The 20,497-nt window shown below is 38.9% G+C and overlaps 1 long non-coding RNA gene across 1 annotated transcript; it reads right to left on the bottom strand.

The window, feature by feature from the left end:
• Nucleotides 1-5,249: 5,249 nt before the first annotated feature.
• On the bottom strand, nucleotides 5,250-8,702 carry LINC02986 (long intergenic non-protein coding RNA 2986). Its single transcript, NR_186600.1, has one exon. It is a non-coding gene; the product is annotated as a long intergenic non-protein coding RNA 2986 (long non-coding RNA).
• Between the last annotated feature and the right edge of the window lie 11,795 nt (nucleotides 8,703-20,497).

Below are 20,497 nucleotides of genomic sequence, written 5' to 3'. Positions count from 1 at the left end.
ACAGAATAAATATAAAGATTAGCTGGGCTTGGTGGTGCATACCTGTGGTCCCAGTTACTCTGGAGGCTTAGGTGGGAGAATCGCTTGAGCCCAGGAGTTCAAGGCTGCAGTGAGCCATGATCCTATCAATGCACTCCAGCCAGGGTGACAGAGACCCTGTCTCCTAAAAGAAGAAGAAAGAAAGCAGCTTGAAGCAGAAAAGACAAGGAACCAGACCAGAAAGGTAACTCTAAATACTTTCAAGTACCTAAGAGGCCAGTTTCGTGAAGTTTTCTCACAATCGTAGTAATCATAAAGGGAAGATGAGGGAACATTGGCCTCAGGTGCAGTGAGAGGCCCATCATTGGAGGTATTTAAGTGCAGGCCACGTGATCATTATCTGAGCTGTGAGTAGGAGAATGCCAGCACTGGGGGTGGGGGAGAAGCCCACAGCTATATGGCCTTTTTATCTCCTAGATCCTATTTCTAGAAGTCCTCCCAGAACAAACAAGCAAAAGGCATTCTGCTATGGCTTGAATGTGTCCCCCAAAGTTCATGTGTTGGAAACTTAATCCCCAATGCAACAGTGTTGAGATGGGGGCCACTTAAGAGGTGATTAGAGGCTGGGTGCAGTGGCTCATGCCTGTAATCCCAGCACTCTGGGAGGCTGAGGTGGGCGGATCACTTGAGGTCAGCAGACCAGCCTGGCCAATGTGGCGAAACCATGTCTCTACTAAAAGTACAAAAATTAGCCAGGTGCAGTGGCACACGCCTGTAATCCCAGCTACTCGGGAGGCTGAGGCAGAAGAATTGCTGGAACCCAGGAGGCGGAGGTTGCAGTGAGCTGAGATTGCTGCCACTGCACTCCAGCCTGGGCAACAGAGTGAGACTTTGGCTCAAAGAAGAAGAAAGAAAGAAAGAAAGAAGTGATTAGGCCATGAGAATTCTGGCCTCATGAATGGATGAATGTTGCCATCACAGGAGTGGCTTGTTATCGAAAGAGGGGCTTATAATAAAAGCCAGTTCGACCCCCCTGCTCTCTCTCAACTTGTGATGCCCTCTGACATGCTATGATGCAGAAGGCCCTCCCTAGATGCTGGCCACTCAACCTTGAACTTCTCAACCTCCAGAACTGTGAGAAACACATTTCTTTTCTTTATAAATTATCCAGTCTCTGGTATACAGCACAAAGCAGACTAAGATACATTCTGACTCCCTGGCACCACTCAGGGCCAGAGTCATCTGTTAAAGACCTGATGCTACTCAGGGAGCTTCCTGACAGCCAGCAATTTTGACAGCGGGATAGGGTAAAATGCCTCAAGGAAAACACAGACACCAATTCTTTTTGGCCTTATTATTTTCTTCTTGTGCTTTCAGAGACCTCTTTGAGAAAAAGGATTGAACTCTGCAAACATTGTCCATGGAAGCCCTATAAAGATAGGGCTTTTTCAAGGAGGTGGAAAAAGGAAGTCGTTGTTCAATAGGGACAAAGTTTCAGATTCACAGGAAGAAAAAGTTCTGGAGATCTGTTTCTCGGCAATGTGAATATACTTAACATTACTAAACTGCACACTTAAAAATGGTTAAGATGGTAAATTTTAGGTTATGTATTTTTTTAACCACAGTAAAACAATTTTGTGTGTTTTGAAAAATCTTATTTCAGCAAGAAAGCTAGATAAACTATCTCTTAATTACTCTTCAATACTCCCTAGTTGCAACAGGGATTACAAATCAAACTGAGTGTTTCAAATTTCTGGGCCATGTGGTTCATCCTAATAATAGTAATAATTATAATAACCCAGGCACACAGGAGTTTAATGGTCTTATCCAAGTTGCCTGAGTACAAAGCGCAATTATTAACCTCACCTAATAAACATCCAGAGATGCACGTAGTCCATGGGTTAGGATGCAATTTTAATGCTCAATATTAAACAATAACGGGCTTTGAGCTTCAAAGGAAACTTGGTAAATTTTATAAAATATAGAATATGGCATAGTTAGTGATACTTTGATGGTCTGTCACTTAAGATAAAAGAGATTAATGAATGTAAATTAGAAATATTTCCCAGTTCTCTAGATTGAGGCTTGCCATGAGAGTTGAAAAATTTCATTTTCACAACATGTGATTTAATGAGATGACATACATAGAAAACACACGGCCTATCACCAGACATGGAGCACAGCTTTTTGTCTCTTTTATTTCATAATGTACCTAGACTAGTACTTGGCATAGTAGATACTCAATACACATTTGTTTAGTAAATAGCAAGGGCTCAATAAATGATAGCTAACAATGATTTAGATTCCAACAAGAAAGAAAAATGCTCTTAATGGATAATGTGGCAAAGCTGACAACATTGGAATAAATTGCAACTCAAGATATTTCACGAAAGGAAATAGTTGCTAAAAATTCAGAAGCAATAAGAAAGACAGTGAAATCTATGAAAGATAATACAAAAGAGGCAGCTTGTGGAAACCCAAGGACGGGGCAATAGGTGGGCATATACTATGTCAATAGATAGTAGTCTCAAAGTAAAGCATGTGGTTTTCAGATGTCCCCTTTTCTCTGTGACTCAATTTATCCAATATTAATTTAACACACATTTAATAAGTACCAGGTGCTGTGCTTGCCCTGAAGATGCGAACATGTGTAAAATGAAACCTAGGCCCTGTCATTTAAGGAGTTCACAGTTAAGAAGGAAATGCAGACACAACAAAATATAATGTAACATAACATAATGTAATATAAGTGGCCACACAGAAGAAGAGTGTGATTAATATTGTCCTACTGGTCAAAAAAAAAAAAAAAAAAAGAAAGAACTATAAAAGGCTGGGCGCAGTGGCTCACGCCTGTAATGCCAGCACTTTGGGAGGCCCAGGCAGGTGGATCACGAGATCAGGAGATCGAGACCATCCTGGCTAACACGGTGAAACCCTGTCTCTACTGAAAATACAAAAAATTAGCCGGGTGTGGTGGTGGGAGCCTGTAGTCCCAGCTACTCGGGAGGCTGAGGCAGGAGAATGGCGTGAACTCGGAAGGCAGAGCTTGCAGTGAGCCGAGATCGCACCACCACACTCCAGCCTGGGTGACAGAGTAAGACTCTTGTCTCAAAAAATAAATAAATATATATATATATATATATATATATATATATATATATATATATAGTCCTACTGGTGTGAGGGATAGAAAGGGCTTCAGAGTGACAGTCTGCCATGCAGATAATTAAATAGTAGAAAAAAAGATAGATGAAAAGGAAAAGAAATATATGACTATTACTGTAAAATAATAACGCTAAGAATAATAAGCACCTGTCACATACCAGGCACTGTAGCAGGCACTTGAAGTGCATTATATATTACATGATGCAGTATTTTTATTGACATGTGAATGCCATAGTAAACAGGAGGAGGATCTGACCTGGTAGAAAGGGCAGGGGAGGAAAGGTGGAAAGCAAGTTGCCAGGCCCAATTTCCACTCCTTTGCTTGGATCCTCACCACCTCCCTTCCCCCAGCTTCCCTCTGCTCACTTTCCCCTTCTCCAGAGTCTTAGGTATTATGCAGAGCCTGAAGCCCCCTCCTTACTCGTTCTATCTGGAGAGGTTCAGGCCAGAAAAACGGAGGCATCCAGTCCAGGGAAAGCTGCATGGGGGTCAAACTATAGAAGATAATGACAGTGATTCTCACTTTTTATTTTATTATTATTATTATTTATTTATTTTGAGGCAGAGTCTTGCTCTGTCGCCCAGGCTGGAGCGCAGTGGGACGATCTTGGCTCACTGCAACCTCCACCTCCCAGGTTCAAGCGATTCTTAGGCCTCGGCCTCCTGAGTAGCTGGATTTACAGGCGTGTGCCACCACGCCCTGAGATTTTTGTATTTTTAGTAGAAATGGGGTTTCACCATGTTGGCCAGGCTGGTCTCGAACTCCAGGCTGGCCTCAGGTGATCTGCCTGCCTCGGCCTCCCAAAGTGCTGGGATTACAGGCATGAGCCACCATGCTGGCCTTTTTTTTTTTTTTTTTTTTTTTTTTTTTGATTCTTACTTTTTAAAGTCTCAGATGAAAAAAAAAATGCATCAGCCATCGTTCAGGTCCAACATTGCAAGCACTCCCTCTGTGAACATACATATTCTGTAGAAATACTAGTAAATGGGCACTGGCAAGTTATTAAAGAATCCACATATATCAATTACTTGCCCACACTATGACAAACTGGGGAAGAGGTGCATAAACCGTGAGGAAGCTTCTCCAGCTTTCTACAATAGCTTCCGGCAAGCCTGAGGCCAGGGACGAAGGATTCTACAGTCGTGTTTAACTACAAAGCTTATCTCCCTCTTCCTCCACATCATTTACTTGGTAATTAATCAGGAATTAATCATAGTCTTACAATTAAAAGCATGATGAATTCTTGTCTTGCAATGCTTTCACTACTAACTAAATTTCCTATTGTTACTTTTACCCGCACCTGAAGGTAAGGAGAACCTCCCTTGGCTTCTTGTATGTCTTTTCTCCACCTAGGATTCTGCATACATTGTTGGAGCTCAAAAAAAAAAAAAAAAAAAAAAAAGAGACATTCTCAACAGGTCAATTTATGGTAGAGATATTATGTGTGGTATAGCGATATAAGAGGATGTGTGTTGCAAGCTTAGGGCAGCGGCTCTTAGACTTGAGCACATTGCAATCCCTTGGAGGGCCTGCTGCAACAGACTGTTGGGGCCCCGCCCCTGACCCATCACCAGTGGGTCCAGCAGGTCTGGGTGTGGCCCAAGGATGTGCATTTCTAATAAGTTTCAGGTGATGCTGATGCCCTCTTTGAAAATCACTGGTTTAGAGTAATTCAATTTAGCTGTCATTTAATCCAGACCAAAAAAAGCCATTCACCTTGTTTAGCTGCCGCAACTGACTCATGTGTCAAGGAACTCAGAAATCCAACTTAGAGATCACAGGTCAACCTGTGCAAAGCTTGCGGCTTCTCTTTACCAGCTGGGAGAAACACCTAACCTTCCTTCTCACAATACTGTGCAGGGATTAACACACCAACACCAACTCCACCACCTTGATTCTCGCCTCCTTTAACCCAAAGGGATCCAGGGAAGGACGCTGATTGGCCCTGCTTCAGATACATACCCACCAATCTGGAGCGCCGGAGATGAGCTGCTGCGATTGGCCAGATCCAAAGGTGGGCGTAAGAAGGAAATGTTCTGGGGAACCAAACACCGTGGCTACCACCCGTGCGTTGCAAAAAGACAGAAGCAGAGCTGTGGTGGGATTTTTTCTTTCAAGTAAACTTTTTAATTGAAGTATAACACACATACAGAAAAGTACACAAGTGGTAAGTATAGAGTTTGATGAATGTTTACAAAGTGAACACACCCATATAAGTATCACCAAGATCAAGAAATAAATCATGACGTTTGGAGTTTTAAAAAGTACACTTCGGTCTTAATGGCTTCATTTCAGCCCCTTTCAGGGCAGTTTTCTACATGTGCTAACTCATTTCCACAAAATAGATAAAATATAACCACCAGTGCTTGTAATCAAAGAGTAAGTCAAAGCATAAATTCAGCCCTCTAAATAACGAATTAAATGCAGAAACCTTTTGGTTTTCATGACTCTTCTCTCATGATAAGAGAGCTTTTCTTTAAAAACAGGAAAGGCTGTCCAGCAGTCCTCAGAACCTGTGTCTTCTCACCATTCCTCAATCACTTGTCAGCTTTTTGTTTCCACATTCTGGGATCTTCATCTTCTTATTCTATGCTGTGTTTATACAGTGCTATGGAATAAGCCAGTGGCTTAATAATTATTGTAATTTTGCGGTCTTAATTATGTTTTCTTAACTCAGAAATAGTCACTATATCAAATGATGTTAATTCCAATAAGTTTTAGTAAAAGGGAAATAGGTGAATGTTTGACTCCAAATATTCTGTAATTATGTAAAAGTAATTGAGCTCATTGCTGAACATTTGAAAATAACCAAAATACAAAGAAACTGAAAATCATCCATGCTCCCACCACTCAGGAATAATCACTGCAAACATTATGATCTGTCCAGGTTTCTTTCTGTGAATATATACTTCTCTTCTTGTTCACAACATTTATAACCTCTGTCAATTTTGTACACTGCTTTTTCTAACCACTTAAATTTAAAATCTTATGGCTTTACATTTCTAATCAGAAAACTCATAGCAAGAAATGTAAGTGAAAGTAAATTCACAAGCTACTCAGTAGAAAAGCAGAAAAGAAAGGAGCAGAAAATAAAGGCTGCAGACCAAAATATCTCTGTGGAATCAGATAGAAAATATTTTTTTAAAAGATATTATGAAGTTTTTATGGCCAATTCCCAGCTGTAAACCAATAGAGCTCATTTGGTGGACTATAACTCTCAATTATATGACCAGATAAAAAATTTATTTAGTGAGTCTTTTAGAAGATTGAAATTTTATCCAGTTGTTCCACAAAGCAACATATAGATCATCCATTTGTGGGTCACAAGTGCGCAGATAGGCTATGCAACAGGCAATTTCTGAATTAAATTATCTCTCTCATGGGGAATTAATAAGACACCATTTAAGAAATCATTTATGATGGTGAGCTAGTTATTTAGATAGTAATACCTAACTAATCCCTAGTAATAGGAGCTTTCTTCTACAGCTCATGGGCTTCTCTTCAATTAATAAACATGATACACAGTTTCAAAGGTAACTGAATCTGTTGAAAAGTGGGCTTAAGTTTGAACATTATAAATTCAGATATCAAAACTTGTAAGGGAGAAGATAATGTCATAGCAAAATTATCTAACTTTTTGGTACTGAAATCAAAGCAAAAGCATATTAAATTTGGATCCTCTGACATAGATTTCTTCTAAATAAATTGCCAAACAATCTTACAAACAGCTTGGAGATTGGTTTACTTCAAGGGAAATACTGAAAGGAAAACAGATGATCACTTTAATAATTTTGGATTGGGGAAGTCCTTTCTATAAAAGACACCAAAAGCAGAAATTATGAAGAAAACAAACATGATTTGACTATGCAAAAAAATAACCTATACAGCAGAAAGTAGGTAGATAAAAAGACATGCCTCTGTCTACTGCAGCGTTTTTTGAACATAATTAGGTTTTGGGGCTTAATTCATTCTGAGCCTTTAATCATGCTGGCCAACCAATTTGTAATTGGTTTTTGGATGGGAAATGGATATTGTCGAGACAAGCCTTTGCAATTACATCAAAATAACATTTCACAAGGTTCTTATTGAATACCAGAAATTGCACTTCCTCAGAATGGCAAATCACAGAGATGCAGGCTAGCACTGCTCAAGAGCATTGGTGATCTTTGAAGATTCACAAATCTAGGTTTGAATTTCCATCCTAGGCCAAGCGCGGGGGGTGGCTTATGCCTGTTAATCCTAGCACTTTGGGAGGCCGAGGTGGGCAGATCACTTGAGGTCAGGAATTCGAGACCAGCCTGGCCAACATGGTGAAAACCCGTTTCTACTAAATATACAAAAATTAGCCAGGTGTGGTGGTGGGCACCAGTAATCCTAGCTACTGGGGAGTCTGAGGCAGGAGAATTACTTGAACCCTGGAGGCGGAGGTTGCAGTGAGCTGAGATCGTGCCACTGCACTCCAGCATGGATGACATAGCAAAACTCCATCTCAAAAAAATAAAAATAAAAATTCCATCCTGCACTTGCTAGCTGAGTGATCTTAGGCAGGTTATGTACCTTTCTGAGTCATTTTTTTTATAAACTAAAATAAATATAAGTACCTACCACACAAAGCTGACACGTGACACAAGGATAACTACATGAGATAATGCAGCACCTTGAGCCCTTAGAAGAATACTTGATATTCAATAACCCTTGGTGGCAGTCAATTAAGAAAAAAATCTGCAGTACTTAAGCAGTACAAATTATTTTTTTAAAAAAGGAGTATATAGGCCCGGCGCGGTGGCTCACGCCTGTAATCCCAGCACTTTGGGAGGCTGAGGCAGGCAGATCACCTGAGGTCAGGAGTTCAAGACCAGCCTGGCCAACAAGATGAAACCCTGTCTCTACAAAAATACAAATTAGCCAGGCATGATGGTGGGTGCCTGTAATCCCAGCTACTCGGGAGGCTGAGGCGGGAGAATCGCTTGAACCCGGGAGTCGGAGGTTTCAGTGAGCCGAGATCGTGCCATTGCACTCCAGCCTGGGTGACTGAGCGAGTCGACTCCATCTCCAAAAAATAATAATAATAATAAAAGAGAGTATATAATGCAGTGTGGGAAATATGGCTTTTACAGGATAACAGTAAGGGAAGTCTCCCTCTTCAATATCAAGGCAATTTTTTCTTAGTAAAGGTGTAAAAGCAATGAGAAAGTTTTACAAGAAAAGAAAGGAAAAACTGAATTTATAAAACATATCAGTGCTTTCAGTAAACATGTTCAAATGATTGTGTTTTCTAAAATAGAAATGAAGTTGTTCTTCCAACCTCTGAATTTTATCATTTTATGTTTTGGATCAGAAACGTGTGACAAAAACACAAGCTAAGTCAGAGGTGTGATTTTTTGCTTTACAACCCAGGGCATCTCTGTACCATCAAAAGAATATATTCCAAGAAGGTTAGCATCTAACTGAAGGAAACTTAGGTGTGACACTGAGAGACTTCATAGCAGGAGATGAAAGCTTTGAAGGAAGGCATTCTGCTAGAGGGGTCAGCAAACTCCAGCCTGAGAGCCAAGTGCAGTCTGCCACCTGTTTTGGTATGACTGGTGAGGAAAGAAAGGGGAAAATGATTTTATACTTTTAAATGGAAAAAAAAATTAAAAGATACTTCATAACATGTAAAATTGTATGAAATTCAAATTTCAGTGTGCAGAAGTTAAGTTTAAGGATTGTTTAGGTATTGGCTGTCTACGGCTGCTTCCCACTACAATGGCAGAATTGATTAGTTGTGATGGAGACTGTATGGCCCACAAAGCCAAAAATATGTACTGTCTGGCCCTTTACAGAATAAGTTTGCTGACGACCACTGAGTTAGAGATAACCTTAACTGGAAAGTAATATATTCAACTATTTTAGTAATTTTAAAATGAAGATGGCTTTCCTAAGCACACAAATTCAATGCAGTTATTAAAAATGGAGTAGACTTGTATTTATTAACATCAAAAGATGTTACTACATTGTTAAATATAAAAAGGGCAGATTATAGGACAGATAACATAGTATGTGGTCACTTTTTTTTTTTTTTTTTTGAGATGAAGTGTTGCTGTGTCGCCCAGGCTGGAGTACAGTGGCACGGTCTGGGCTCACTGCAAGCTCCGCCTCCCAGGTTCAAGCCATTCTCCTGCCTCAGCCTCCCAAGTAGCTGGAATTACAGGCACCCACTACCACGCCCTGCTAATTTTTTGTATTTTTAGTAGAGACGGGGTTTCACCATGCTGGCCAGGCTGGTCTTGAACTCCTGATCTCGTGATCCGCCCACCTTGGCCTCCCAAAGTGCTGGGATTACAGGTGTGAGCCACCACGCCTGGCTAATGGTCACATTTTTAAAAGTATAAAAATAGATTGATTAATAGGTTGATAGGAAAAGGGTGATAATTAACATTTTACCACCAGTAGGCAAGGACACTAAACAACCAGAACAGTTGCTGATTATAAATACTTGACATGGCCGGGCATGGTGGTTCACACCTGTAATCCCAGCACTTTGGGAGGCCGAAGTGGGTGGATCACCTGAGGTCACGAGTTCGAGACTAGCCTGGCCAACATGGTGAAACCCCATCTCTACTAAAAATACAAAAATTAGCCAGGCGTGCTGGTAGGTACCTGTAATCCCAGCTACTTGGGAGGCTGAGGCAGGAGAATTGCTTGAACCCAGGAGGTGGAGGTAGCAGTGAGCAGAGATCGTGCCAGTGCACTCCAGCCTAGGCAACAGAGTGAGACTCTGTCTCAAAAAACCCACAAAAATAAATACAAATAAAAAATAAAAATAAATACCTGACATGGCTATTTATTAGCGTGCTTGAAAACCAGTCCTGCATAGAGCTACACATGCATAAAAATTATTTGGGAGAATACACAATAAAATGTTAACAATTACTATCTCTAAGTGGTGCGATTATGGATGATTTTTTCACTTTTCTTCTTTATTTAGTCATACCTTTCTATATTTTCATATGCTTCTTTTCTTTTTGAGACAGAGTCCCATGCTGTTGCCCAGGCTGGAGTACAGTGGCATGAATCTCGGCTCACTGCAACCTCTGCCTCCCGGGTTCAGGCGATTCTACTGCCTCAGCCTCCCAAGTAGTTGGGATTACAGGCGTGCGCCACCAGGCCTGGCTGATTTTTGTATTTTTAGTAGAGACAGGGTTTCACCATGTTAGCCAGGCTGGTCTCAAACTCCTAAACTCAAGTGATCTGCCTGCCTCAGCCTCCCAAAGTGCTGGGATTACAGGCTTGAGCCACCATGCCTGGCCCTGATGGGTTTCTTTTATCTTTTATACAAAATTGAAAGCATACTATGGTGTTTGACTAGTTTTTCCTTAATATTCAAACAAGATAATATATTATCTTTCTTTGAAAATATTATCATCAATGGGCACCTAATTATAATATGAGGATCTATCATAACTTATTTCTTCCCATATTTCTTCCAATATACATATTGGAAACAAGGGGTTTTTTTGTGGCTTATAAATTACCTTTTGAAAAACATCCTTTTATGAAAGTCATCTCTGCTTTGGGATAGTTTTCTAGGAGTACATTTTTAAGTCATCAAGTTTTTAAACTTTTTTTTTTTTGAGACAAGGTCTCACTATATTGCCCAGGCTGGATTTGAACTCTGAGGCTCAAGTGATTCTCTTGCCTCAACCTACCCAGTAGCTGGCACTACAGGTGTGCATTACCATACCTGGTTATGACCGGTTTTTAATGACTCTTGAAATGTATTACCAAATTGCTTTCCAGAGAGGCTCTCCCAATAATGTCAAATCTTATCTAGTCTTACAGTTGCAAATTGATAGTAGTATAGTTTTAAAAAATTATCCATTTTCTAGTTTTAATTTATATTTGAGAAATAGTTTCATTGGATAATTTTTATGTGTATTGGCCATATAAATGGCATTTTGATGGCAAATGCTATAATAGCACTATACTAATGACTATTATCCAACAAATCAATTATGGGCCAGAAGTTTTAATAACAGTAAGTTTTTAAGGAAAAACTTTATGACTTTTATTTCTATTAAAATTTTTTTTAAAAAAACCACACTTTTTCGAATTGACTCAAGACATTAAAAAAAGAAATTTTTTTCCCCAAAATTGTAATAAATAGCCTTCTATCAGTCCACAAGATGGGAGTATTCTGATCTTACAATATTTTAGCTTCAGTTGCTAAAAGTGGCAGTTTTTAGTTTTCATATTAAGCTTGTATCAGATCCCTTCTGCAAAGTCATTAAGAAAAAAATAATTATATTCAATTTATAGCTCATAATAGTTTCCATTCACATGTTTGTAAGTTCACAGTCAAAAGGACTTTCTACTTCTATGGAATATTTTTCATGCAGTTAATATGTGGTAGCATCAGGTAACTGCAGTACATGTTTACTTTAAAAAAATAATAATAACTTTGGCCAGGCACGGTGGCTCACATCTGTAATCCCAGCACTTTAGGAGGCCAAGGCCGGTGGATAGGTTGAGCCCAGGAGTCCAAGACCAGCTGGGGCCACGTGGCGAAAACCTGTCTCTACTAAAAATCCAAAAATTAGTCAGGTGTGGTAGTGCACATCTGTAGTCCTAGCTACTCACAAGGCTGTGGTGGGAGGATTGATTGAGCCTGGGAGGTTGAGGCTGCAGTGAGCTGCAATCATGCCAATGCACTCCAGCCTGAGGGACAGAGGGAGACCCTGTCTCAAAGCAAAACGAAACAAAAAAGCACACACACAAAGAAACCCCTAAAAAACTAAAAAAACTTAGCTGGACATGATGGTGTGTGCCTATAGTTCCAGCTACTCACAGGCTAAGGCTGGAGGATCGCTTGAGCTCAGGAGTTTGAGGCTGCAGTGAGCTGTGATGGCGCCACTGCACTATAGTCTAGGTGACAGAGCAAGACCCTGTCTCTTAAAAAAAAAATTAACTTTTATGCTTAGGCTTACATGCTTTAATAAACAGTGACTTAGAAATATCAGGGGAACAGGCCGGGTGCAGTGGCTCATGCCTGTAATCCCAGCACTTTGGGAGGCTGAGGCGGGCAGATCACGAGGTCAGGAGTTCAAGACCAGCCTGGCCAACATAGTGAAACCCCGTCTCTACTAAAAATACAAAAATTAGCTGGGCATGATGGTGGGCGCCTGTAGTCCCAGCTACTTGGGAGGCTGAGGCAGGAGAATCCCTTGAACCCAGGAGGTGGAGGTTGCAGTGAGCCGAGATTGTGCCACTGCACTCTAGCCTGGGTGACACAGCGAGACTGTCTCAGAAAAAAAAAAGAAAGAAGTATCAGGGGAACAAACTTGTGAAAGAAACAGACATACGTGAACCTTTCTCATCAAACCTTAACAGCTATCAATCACCATTTATATAAAACTGGTACCATCTCCAATCTCAAGTGTTCTTTTCCACATTTCTGGAAATTTTACCTTAGAATCACTAGTTCTTTGGTTGGCCTTTCTATTTCTACTTCATGTGGGCTACTAATCCTGGTTAAAACTCTTATATGTACGGTAATGGAATCAACGGCTTCGACTGTCTTTTTTTTAGCAAGCCCTGATCAACTAGGAATACGACCACTTACAATTGGCTACTCTCTTTTCTCTTATTCAACAAAAGCAAAAACCAGGAGGCATGTGTAGCTGACCTTACACAGCAACCAACTTTCCAACACTCTCATCAGCAGGAGGTCGTTCTTTAAACTCTCTTAAAATAATTTCATACTTAGTAGCACTATCCAAGTGTCACTGGACCCAATCACTATAATTCATTCTCCTTAGCACTGTCCAACAATCTCTAATTTTACAAAAATACTCAAGAGTGCATCAGAGGCCAGGCGCCTCTGATACGGGCTCACGCCTGTAATCCCAGCACTTTGGGAGGCTGAGGCAGGCGGATCACCTGAGGTCGGGAGTTCGAGACCAGCCTGACCAACCTGGAGAAACCCCGTCTCTACTAAAAATACAAAATTAGTCAGGCGTGGTGGCGCATGCCTGTAATCCCAGCTAATCGGGAGGCTGAGGCAGGAGAATCGCTTGAACCTAGGAGGCAGAGGTTGCAGTGAGCCGAGATTGTGCCACTGCATTCCAGCCTGGGTAACAAGAGCGAAACTCCGTCTCAAAAAAAAAAAGAAAAAAAAGTGCATCAGAAAGAGCTTTTAGGAAGATCCTTTTTATTCATATAGAAGACATTTTAAGACATATTCAAACTTTTTTTAAACAAGAATTTAATGGGTTCCATGACAATGGTCATATGAGGGTCATTCCAGTATAGTCATGTGTATGCTGAATGGGTGTTAAATCATTTCACAATGAAAGGAATGTCCATCCGTTTAAGAAAATCTTCAATACCAGTTTACAGCAACAACAAAAAATGACAACAAAAACCTTTTCATGTATTTAAAGTTACTTGCTACTAACTCTTCATATATACTATATTGGAAAAATTGGTTGGAACTGACAGGCAATTTCATAGTAAGTTCCTAAATATAGCCTTGGGCCTCTTTGACACGTCTTAAGCAGGAACTATGATGAGTCATTCAAAAAGTCTTGCACCTAACAGGAAAAACTTTAATTGCACCCAGCTCTCCCTGGTAAGAATGGGTACAGCCCAGGAACTACTGGTTCCCTCCTGGCAAGAGCAGTTGAAAAAATCAGCTGGGGGTTGGTTGTGTATACTCCTTTTTTAAAATGTTTGGGCATTCACCCAGCCCTGTGGCTATGACATTCTTGGGCAGGGCATGCTGGTAGTGGAAACAGTGAAGGTTATTCAAACCACTAAATTCTCAGCTATATGGAAACTGGCTGACTTACCCCAAGCATGAGTTCTCCATCCTCTCCCTCACCACCTCCACTCCACAGCTAAAATATTAGGTCTCAGAATATAAATTACTTTAGGTCTTTATTCCACTAGGCTACTCAAAGTGAATGTTTTTTTGTTTTTTAAAAACCCGTACTGATCCTGATTATGAGGACTGTATGGTGTTTATAATTATCAATGTATAAATTATACAGATTACAAATATATAAATACAGAAACAAAACTTCTGTATTAGAAGGTGGTCAGAATGAAGATGATACAGTTAGGGATTTTAGTTCACAGAAAACTTCATTATGATAAAGTACATCTAGGATCAAAGATAATTTGGTGTTTTTCTAGTAATATCAAAACAATCAACTGGCAAACACTTTTAGGGCTGAAGAGACTTCCTATTCTGAAGTGTGGGGCCACAAATATCTCACCTTAAAGTAGGGGAAGTAAATAGGCCTCATTTAATGCCACAACCAATAGATTTGGACTGACGGCCCATAGCACCTTGCTGAGAAAGATTCTAAGGCTGTGTTGGTGATTAGCAAAAAAGACTGTTTTCATCCATTAGTCCTGTCTGCCTCAGGTGTGGGAATATGGGGTGAGGGTACACTTACCCTGTATTTGTCATTCCTGGCTTAAACTAATACATTAATTGACGCACCCAAATTTGAATTCAGAATCTGTCACTTAGTAGCTATGACGCTGTGGGTAAATTGCTTATTTCCTTAAGTCTCAGTTTCTTAATTTGTAAAACAGGGATGATGAAAGCACATTTTAGAGGGATTTTTAAAAAAATATTTAAATATTTTTAATATTTAAAGCGGGGTCTGGGACAAGATATGTGCTCTATAAAGAAAAGCTACTATTATTATTATCATTCATGAGTGTTTTTAAATTAATGGTTAAAAAAATTTTTTTTAAGCACAAAACCCTGAAAGCCTAACAAATAAGATAAAAGTGAAGCTGCTGTAGTTGAGGTTTAGCTGAAGGCCCAGGGCCCCACCTACTCTGCTGTGTCCTTCCCGGACAGGCTAGAGAGGCATCTTCAAAGAGCCCCTAGGACCCTAGAGCACAGTTTGAAAATCCCTGAAGAAGGTTATTTAAAAGTGAAAACAATGCTCTCCTTTTGAGGTTCGCTCTGCATTTGTTAGCCAGTTAGGCTTAAACAAGACAGGTCATAGTCAGGGCAAAATGGCCAAATTTAAGGCAGAGGAAAATATACTATGAAGAAACTATTCATGGAAGTAAAGTATTCAAAATCCAGTAGTAAATTTACATGGTTAACATTAGAATAAAATTTAAACATCGAGATTATTTTTAGCAAATAAAATAGGATTCCAATTTATTTTAGGTTATCTTGAAGATACAGTGAGTCTTCAGCTTTGTCTTTATATCTAAAACATGGCTAGATGTAGTTAAAAGAATTTAGCTAGAAAAATAACTCCCAAGAGTTAGCCAAAGATCAGAAGAAAGTAAGCAAAGGACTAAGTAGGAACTCAGAGATGAAAGCAAAGAATGTATGGAACACTCATCAAGCACAAACGCAAAAAGGGAAAATAAAAAGTTCAATCGCTTTTAAAATTCACATTATAAATAATTAAACGAGATTATTTAGATCACTCTCTACTAAAGAAAAAACAAAAGTTTTCTAATAGAGCTAAATAAATATACATAATCTAAATGATACCAATAGTGATGGAATATACCAAATGTTCTGGATATATTAAAGAAAAAAATTATCCAATTATTCACCAACTTTTCCTGCTCAAAGAAGTAAAGCCAGTTCATATGAAGCTGTAGTTTATTCTGAAACCTTTCTAAATGACATCAACAAATCATGACAATTTTTGCTTGAGGAATATTTTCCATCTATTGTGCCTCGTAAGAATCTCCTACATTCCCTCTCCAATGTCCATGACAGAGTCCTGTTCATGAGCTATGACTACGCTTCTCAGAAGTCTTTAAAAGCTTTCATCTCTGAAATTGAAATATAAAGGCCTTAAATATATGCCATGTTCTAATTATTAATTCCAAAATAAAAATGCTTTAAACATACTTAAATTATTATGATGGGACTCAATTACATAGTACATCAATCTTTAGCTTCAATTGCTTGCGATTTTTCTTTAATGGTACAATTAGGTTTTCTGTGAGTGCATGTGGTTAAAAAATAAAAACTGAGTCTCTTTCTTTAGCATATATAAATGCTACATTCTGCCTTTGCAATTACTCCATTAGTCATCTCCAACAATGAATTATGGTGATAAAGGAGGTACTATTTTTTAAAATATGCCACTAGAAAGGACATTAATTACAGTATAATATACTGGAAACATTCTCAAATCTGATTTTTCAAGTTATTTACATCATAAATGCAGAAAACAAACTTCTACAGTGGTAAATGCATATTTACCACTACAGCTAATGCATATTTATCAATTTCCTGCTTGCAAAAAATACTGCATGTCTGTATCATTTGCACTTAGTTTCCCAACATTTAGAAGTCTAGAGTTACACTGATACTATAAGGAAATGACTTACATTAAACATAAAACTTACAGCAAATTGGCATGATGCTACTGAGTGATAGATGCTTGAAGAGTAAAAACTTCCCTTTGTCACGCATATCAATCAATTGCTGCAAATGGCAATAAAATGAATCACCTAGACAGGAAGGATGGTCTTAGGATTCTCAGCTCTCTCATATTCGTAGATTTTATGCCAAGAGAACAATGACATCTATGGTGGTAGCTTTCAAACGGCACACAATAAGCCTTAGAAAATGCATTTGGGTGTTTATTATTAGGGAATTTCCTAACTCATATTTTTAAGTTCAAAAATTGCTAATGAGCATTGATAACTTTTAGGATGTAAATTAGCTAGTGAGAATATTCAAATTCTTCCATCTTAGTGACACAAATGCACTAGACATATACTCTTAATGTTTTTCAAAAGAAGGACAGCATAAAAATAACAAAGTAGCTATAATTTTGAATCTATCCTGCTGCTAAAGAGGCGAATGACTTGGGCTTGAGGGACTTGAAGTTTTACAAGAATTTAATAATAAATACTGAAATATTCCTCATTTCTTTTAGACTATAATCTAAAATGCAATTAAAGAAAAAACCTCTCATCATCCCTGTAATACATTTTCTAAAGGAATTGCATAAATTTATGAATGTTAAAATTACACTGCCTTAAGTCAATTAATTATGAAATTCTTGAATGCCTGGGATTAAGCAACATTTAAATTTTGATATCAAACTGCAAACTTAAGATTAAACTTGCTTCTCCAAGATAAGTGTTATACCAGTGCCAGCAAATTAACATCCTAGTTTATAAAAAATAATTCTTGATGCCTCTCTTTAAAATGTATTTTTGGGCATCAATTTTTGATATCAAATATTCAATTCTTAGTCTTGAAAAGTAAAACATTCAACTGAAAAAGGGTAAACAGCGTGGATTTCTCACATTATTCTTACAGAAATGAAAACAGAGGCTGGGTGTGGTGGCTTACACCAGTAATCCTAGCACTTGGGGAGGCCGAGGCAGGAGGATTGCATGAGGTCAGGAGTTGGAGACCAGCCTGGACAACATAGTGTGACCTTGTTGCTACAAAAAATAAAAAAAAATTAGCTGGGAGTGGTGGAGCATGCCTGTAGTCCCAGCTACTCAGAAGGCTGAGGCAGAAGGATCACTTGAGCTTAAGAGTTCAAGGCTACAGTGAAATACAATTGTGCCACTGCACTTCAGCCTGGGCAACAAAGCAAGATCCTCTCTCAAAAGAAAGAAAGAAAACCTAGAGTATTGTTTTTTAGGCATAGAAAAATTTTAAGATCCCAAGCACTCCTCTCTCCCTTCCAATCTCCACTGTTACATAAACCATTATGTGTAGTCTCAAACTTAATCTGAGTGGCTTCAGGGGATGAAATGATTATCCAGTGGAAGTTGTAGAGAGGCAGATTTCCACCTGCCTCAAATGTAGGGAAGAACTGATAGGACCTCAAGATAATATGACCTGTTATATGAGGTAGTAAGTGGGAGGTACACATTTATGGCATGAGTTCAAGCAGAGGCTGGATAAAGTACAGAGTATTTGTTTCTAACATTCCTTCAGCTCTAAGATTCTATTGATCTTAGTTAACAGAGACACATACATGTTGATGAGACATGATGAAATCAGCTAGACACCACCTCATCAAACAGTGTTAACATGGCTGGCATGCATTAAATATCTTCAGAAAAGCTGAGGTTGTAATTTTTCTGAAAGTGATTTTACTATGCAACATCAGCCCATGGTGAGACTCCGTACAGTAAAATGTAAATCTAAAGACCTTGAGGACATCCAACAGAAACTAAAGAACTGTGACCCAAATTAGGATTGTGATTGAATATCCTTTATGCACCAAGCAATAGTGCATGGTATCATTCCATGTTTGCAAACTCCAAAGAGATCAGGGATAAAAATTACCAGAGTTTAAGCCACTGTGATCAATGGAATGGAGTAACACCAATGGAAAGAACAATGGGAAAGAGCACGCAGCCAGGAGGATCACTTGAGCCTAAGAGGTGAAGGCTGCAAGTGAGCTGAGATCACTGCATTCCAGCCTTGGTGACAGAGTGAGACCCTATCTCAAAAAAAAAAAAAAAAAAAAAAAAAGAGTGCCCAGCAAAGAAATAGGGGAATATCGATGCTTTCAGGATCAAATAAGAGGAGTGTTATCTGAAGGAAACTAGTCATTAATAATGCTAAATGCTGCAGAGTGGGGTGTGTATTTGACAATTAGTCACTAGTGGCCTTTTGAAGGGTAGTTCCACTAAAATATCGAAGACAGAATCTAGATTGCTATGGGTTGGACAGTGCATGGAATGCCCTCATAATCTTAAGTGGTTATGTTTTCCTTAGAGTTCCCTTATATATCTTCCCTGATTATATCTGACACTCCTGATGGGATAGGATCTCATTAAACAGGAAAAACAATAGAAATTTTTCTACATCCCTTAGAACCAAACTAACTTCTGATTAATATTAGCCTTAATATTATGGGAAAACTCTTGGAACAAGTTAGGTCAACTTGTGTTTTAAATAGAAATTTTCTGACTCCAGAGTTGTGCTCAGCACTGAATTTGTATATTTGGCATGTACTTACTGAGAGCCTACTATTCCACCAGACTGGGCAACACAAAGTCTACAAGAAAGTCCTCAATTAGGGGTTCCAATGGGGAATCAGTGTGTCATGACATAAAGGTTTATTATTCAGTTTGATAGTCTTTAGTCTTGGGAACTTTACTGAGGGCTTGATGGAAAGTATTTTTCAGGTCAGCTGTTTTGATTCACAGACTTAGCATTCTCAAGCTATGCCCAAGATGACTGACAAGTCTAATTTAGTGACACCTTGTTATGAATGTAGATGTTAATCAGATACTCAACATTTGAAAGGCTACAGAAAGTCTATGTTACAGTGCTCAAGGTTGAAGCATGATTGAAAATAAAAGGCTCTTTTAACATAAATGTGGCAACAAAAGGGTCTAAATTAGCAAATTATTTTTATTAGCAAGTGAAAGTCTCCTCTCATGAAGTTCTGAATGTTATTTCTGAATCAGATATATTATTTCTTTCATCTAGGAACCAGGGTGTTTGGTGGTGGGGGTTGGGGGGACACCTTGGGTACTGAGATATGGTGTAACTAAACTCCTATTAAGGTCTTGCTGTTTAAGAAAGCTGAGATGGTAAGGTTTTTATCCTTTGCAGCTAAAACGATGCCATTAAAGTTAAGTCTCTTTGCTACTCAAGATTTGTAACTCTGGAAAGGAATAATACGTTGATGTTAGGAAGGCACATCATTCTTCAATGTATGTATTACAGGGACAAGGTGCGGGGGAAGGGGAACCTATAGATCAGGGATCAGCAAACTGTGGCTTGCTGCCTAATTTTGTAAATAAACACAACAACACAGCCTTACAATTCACTTCCATATTGTCCATGGATGCTTTTATGCCACAACAGCAGTTGAATAGTTGTGATGGAGACCTTATGGCTCACCAAACCAAAGTGTCTGGCCCCTTACAGAAAGTTTGGTGATTCCTACATACATCAAATAATCCTGACTAAAAAGCAAAATACACCCGCATATACAATAGGCAATAAGAAATATATCCAGAATAATATATTCCAACCAATGAGAAAATTGGAATTTTAAACTTATTAAACATTTGATATATTAATTTTGGAGGATGTAAATATGCTGTGCTTTTTTAAATTAAAAAAACACATTAAAATTAAATACAGATACTTAGGCTATCACTTTCCTTGAGAATACTTACAGAAGCTTACGATTTCATCCTGTAAGGTGATTTTTTTCTCTACCACCCCATAAAAAGTGAAATGAACATTAACCTAAGTACCTGCAATTTTAGTGAACTGCTTTATTGGATAGGAAAACTCCTCTACGTCTTTAAACCCTCTCCATCATCTACACCCCTAAAATGGTAGGTAGACTCTACTGTGTCAGTTTCCCTGAG

Source organism: Homo sapiens, chromosome 8 (assembly GCF_000001405.40).
Source record: "Homo sapiens chromosome 8, GRCh38.p14 Primary Assembly".
In the NCBI taxonomy this organism is placed as follows: Eukaryota; Metazoa; Chordata; class Mammalia; order Primates; family Hominidae; genus Homo; species Homo sapiens.
Note: the sequence above shows the minus strand (reverse complement) of the source record. Positions and strands in the feature narration are given on the sequence as shown.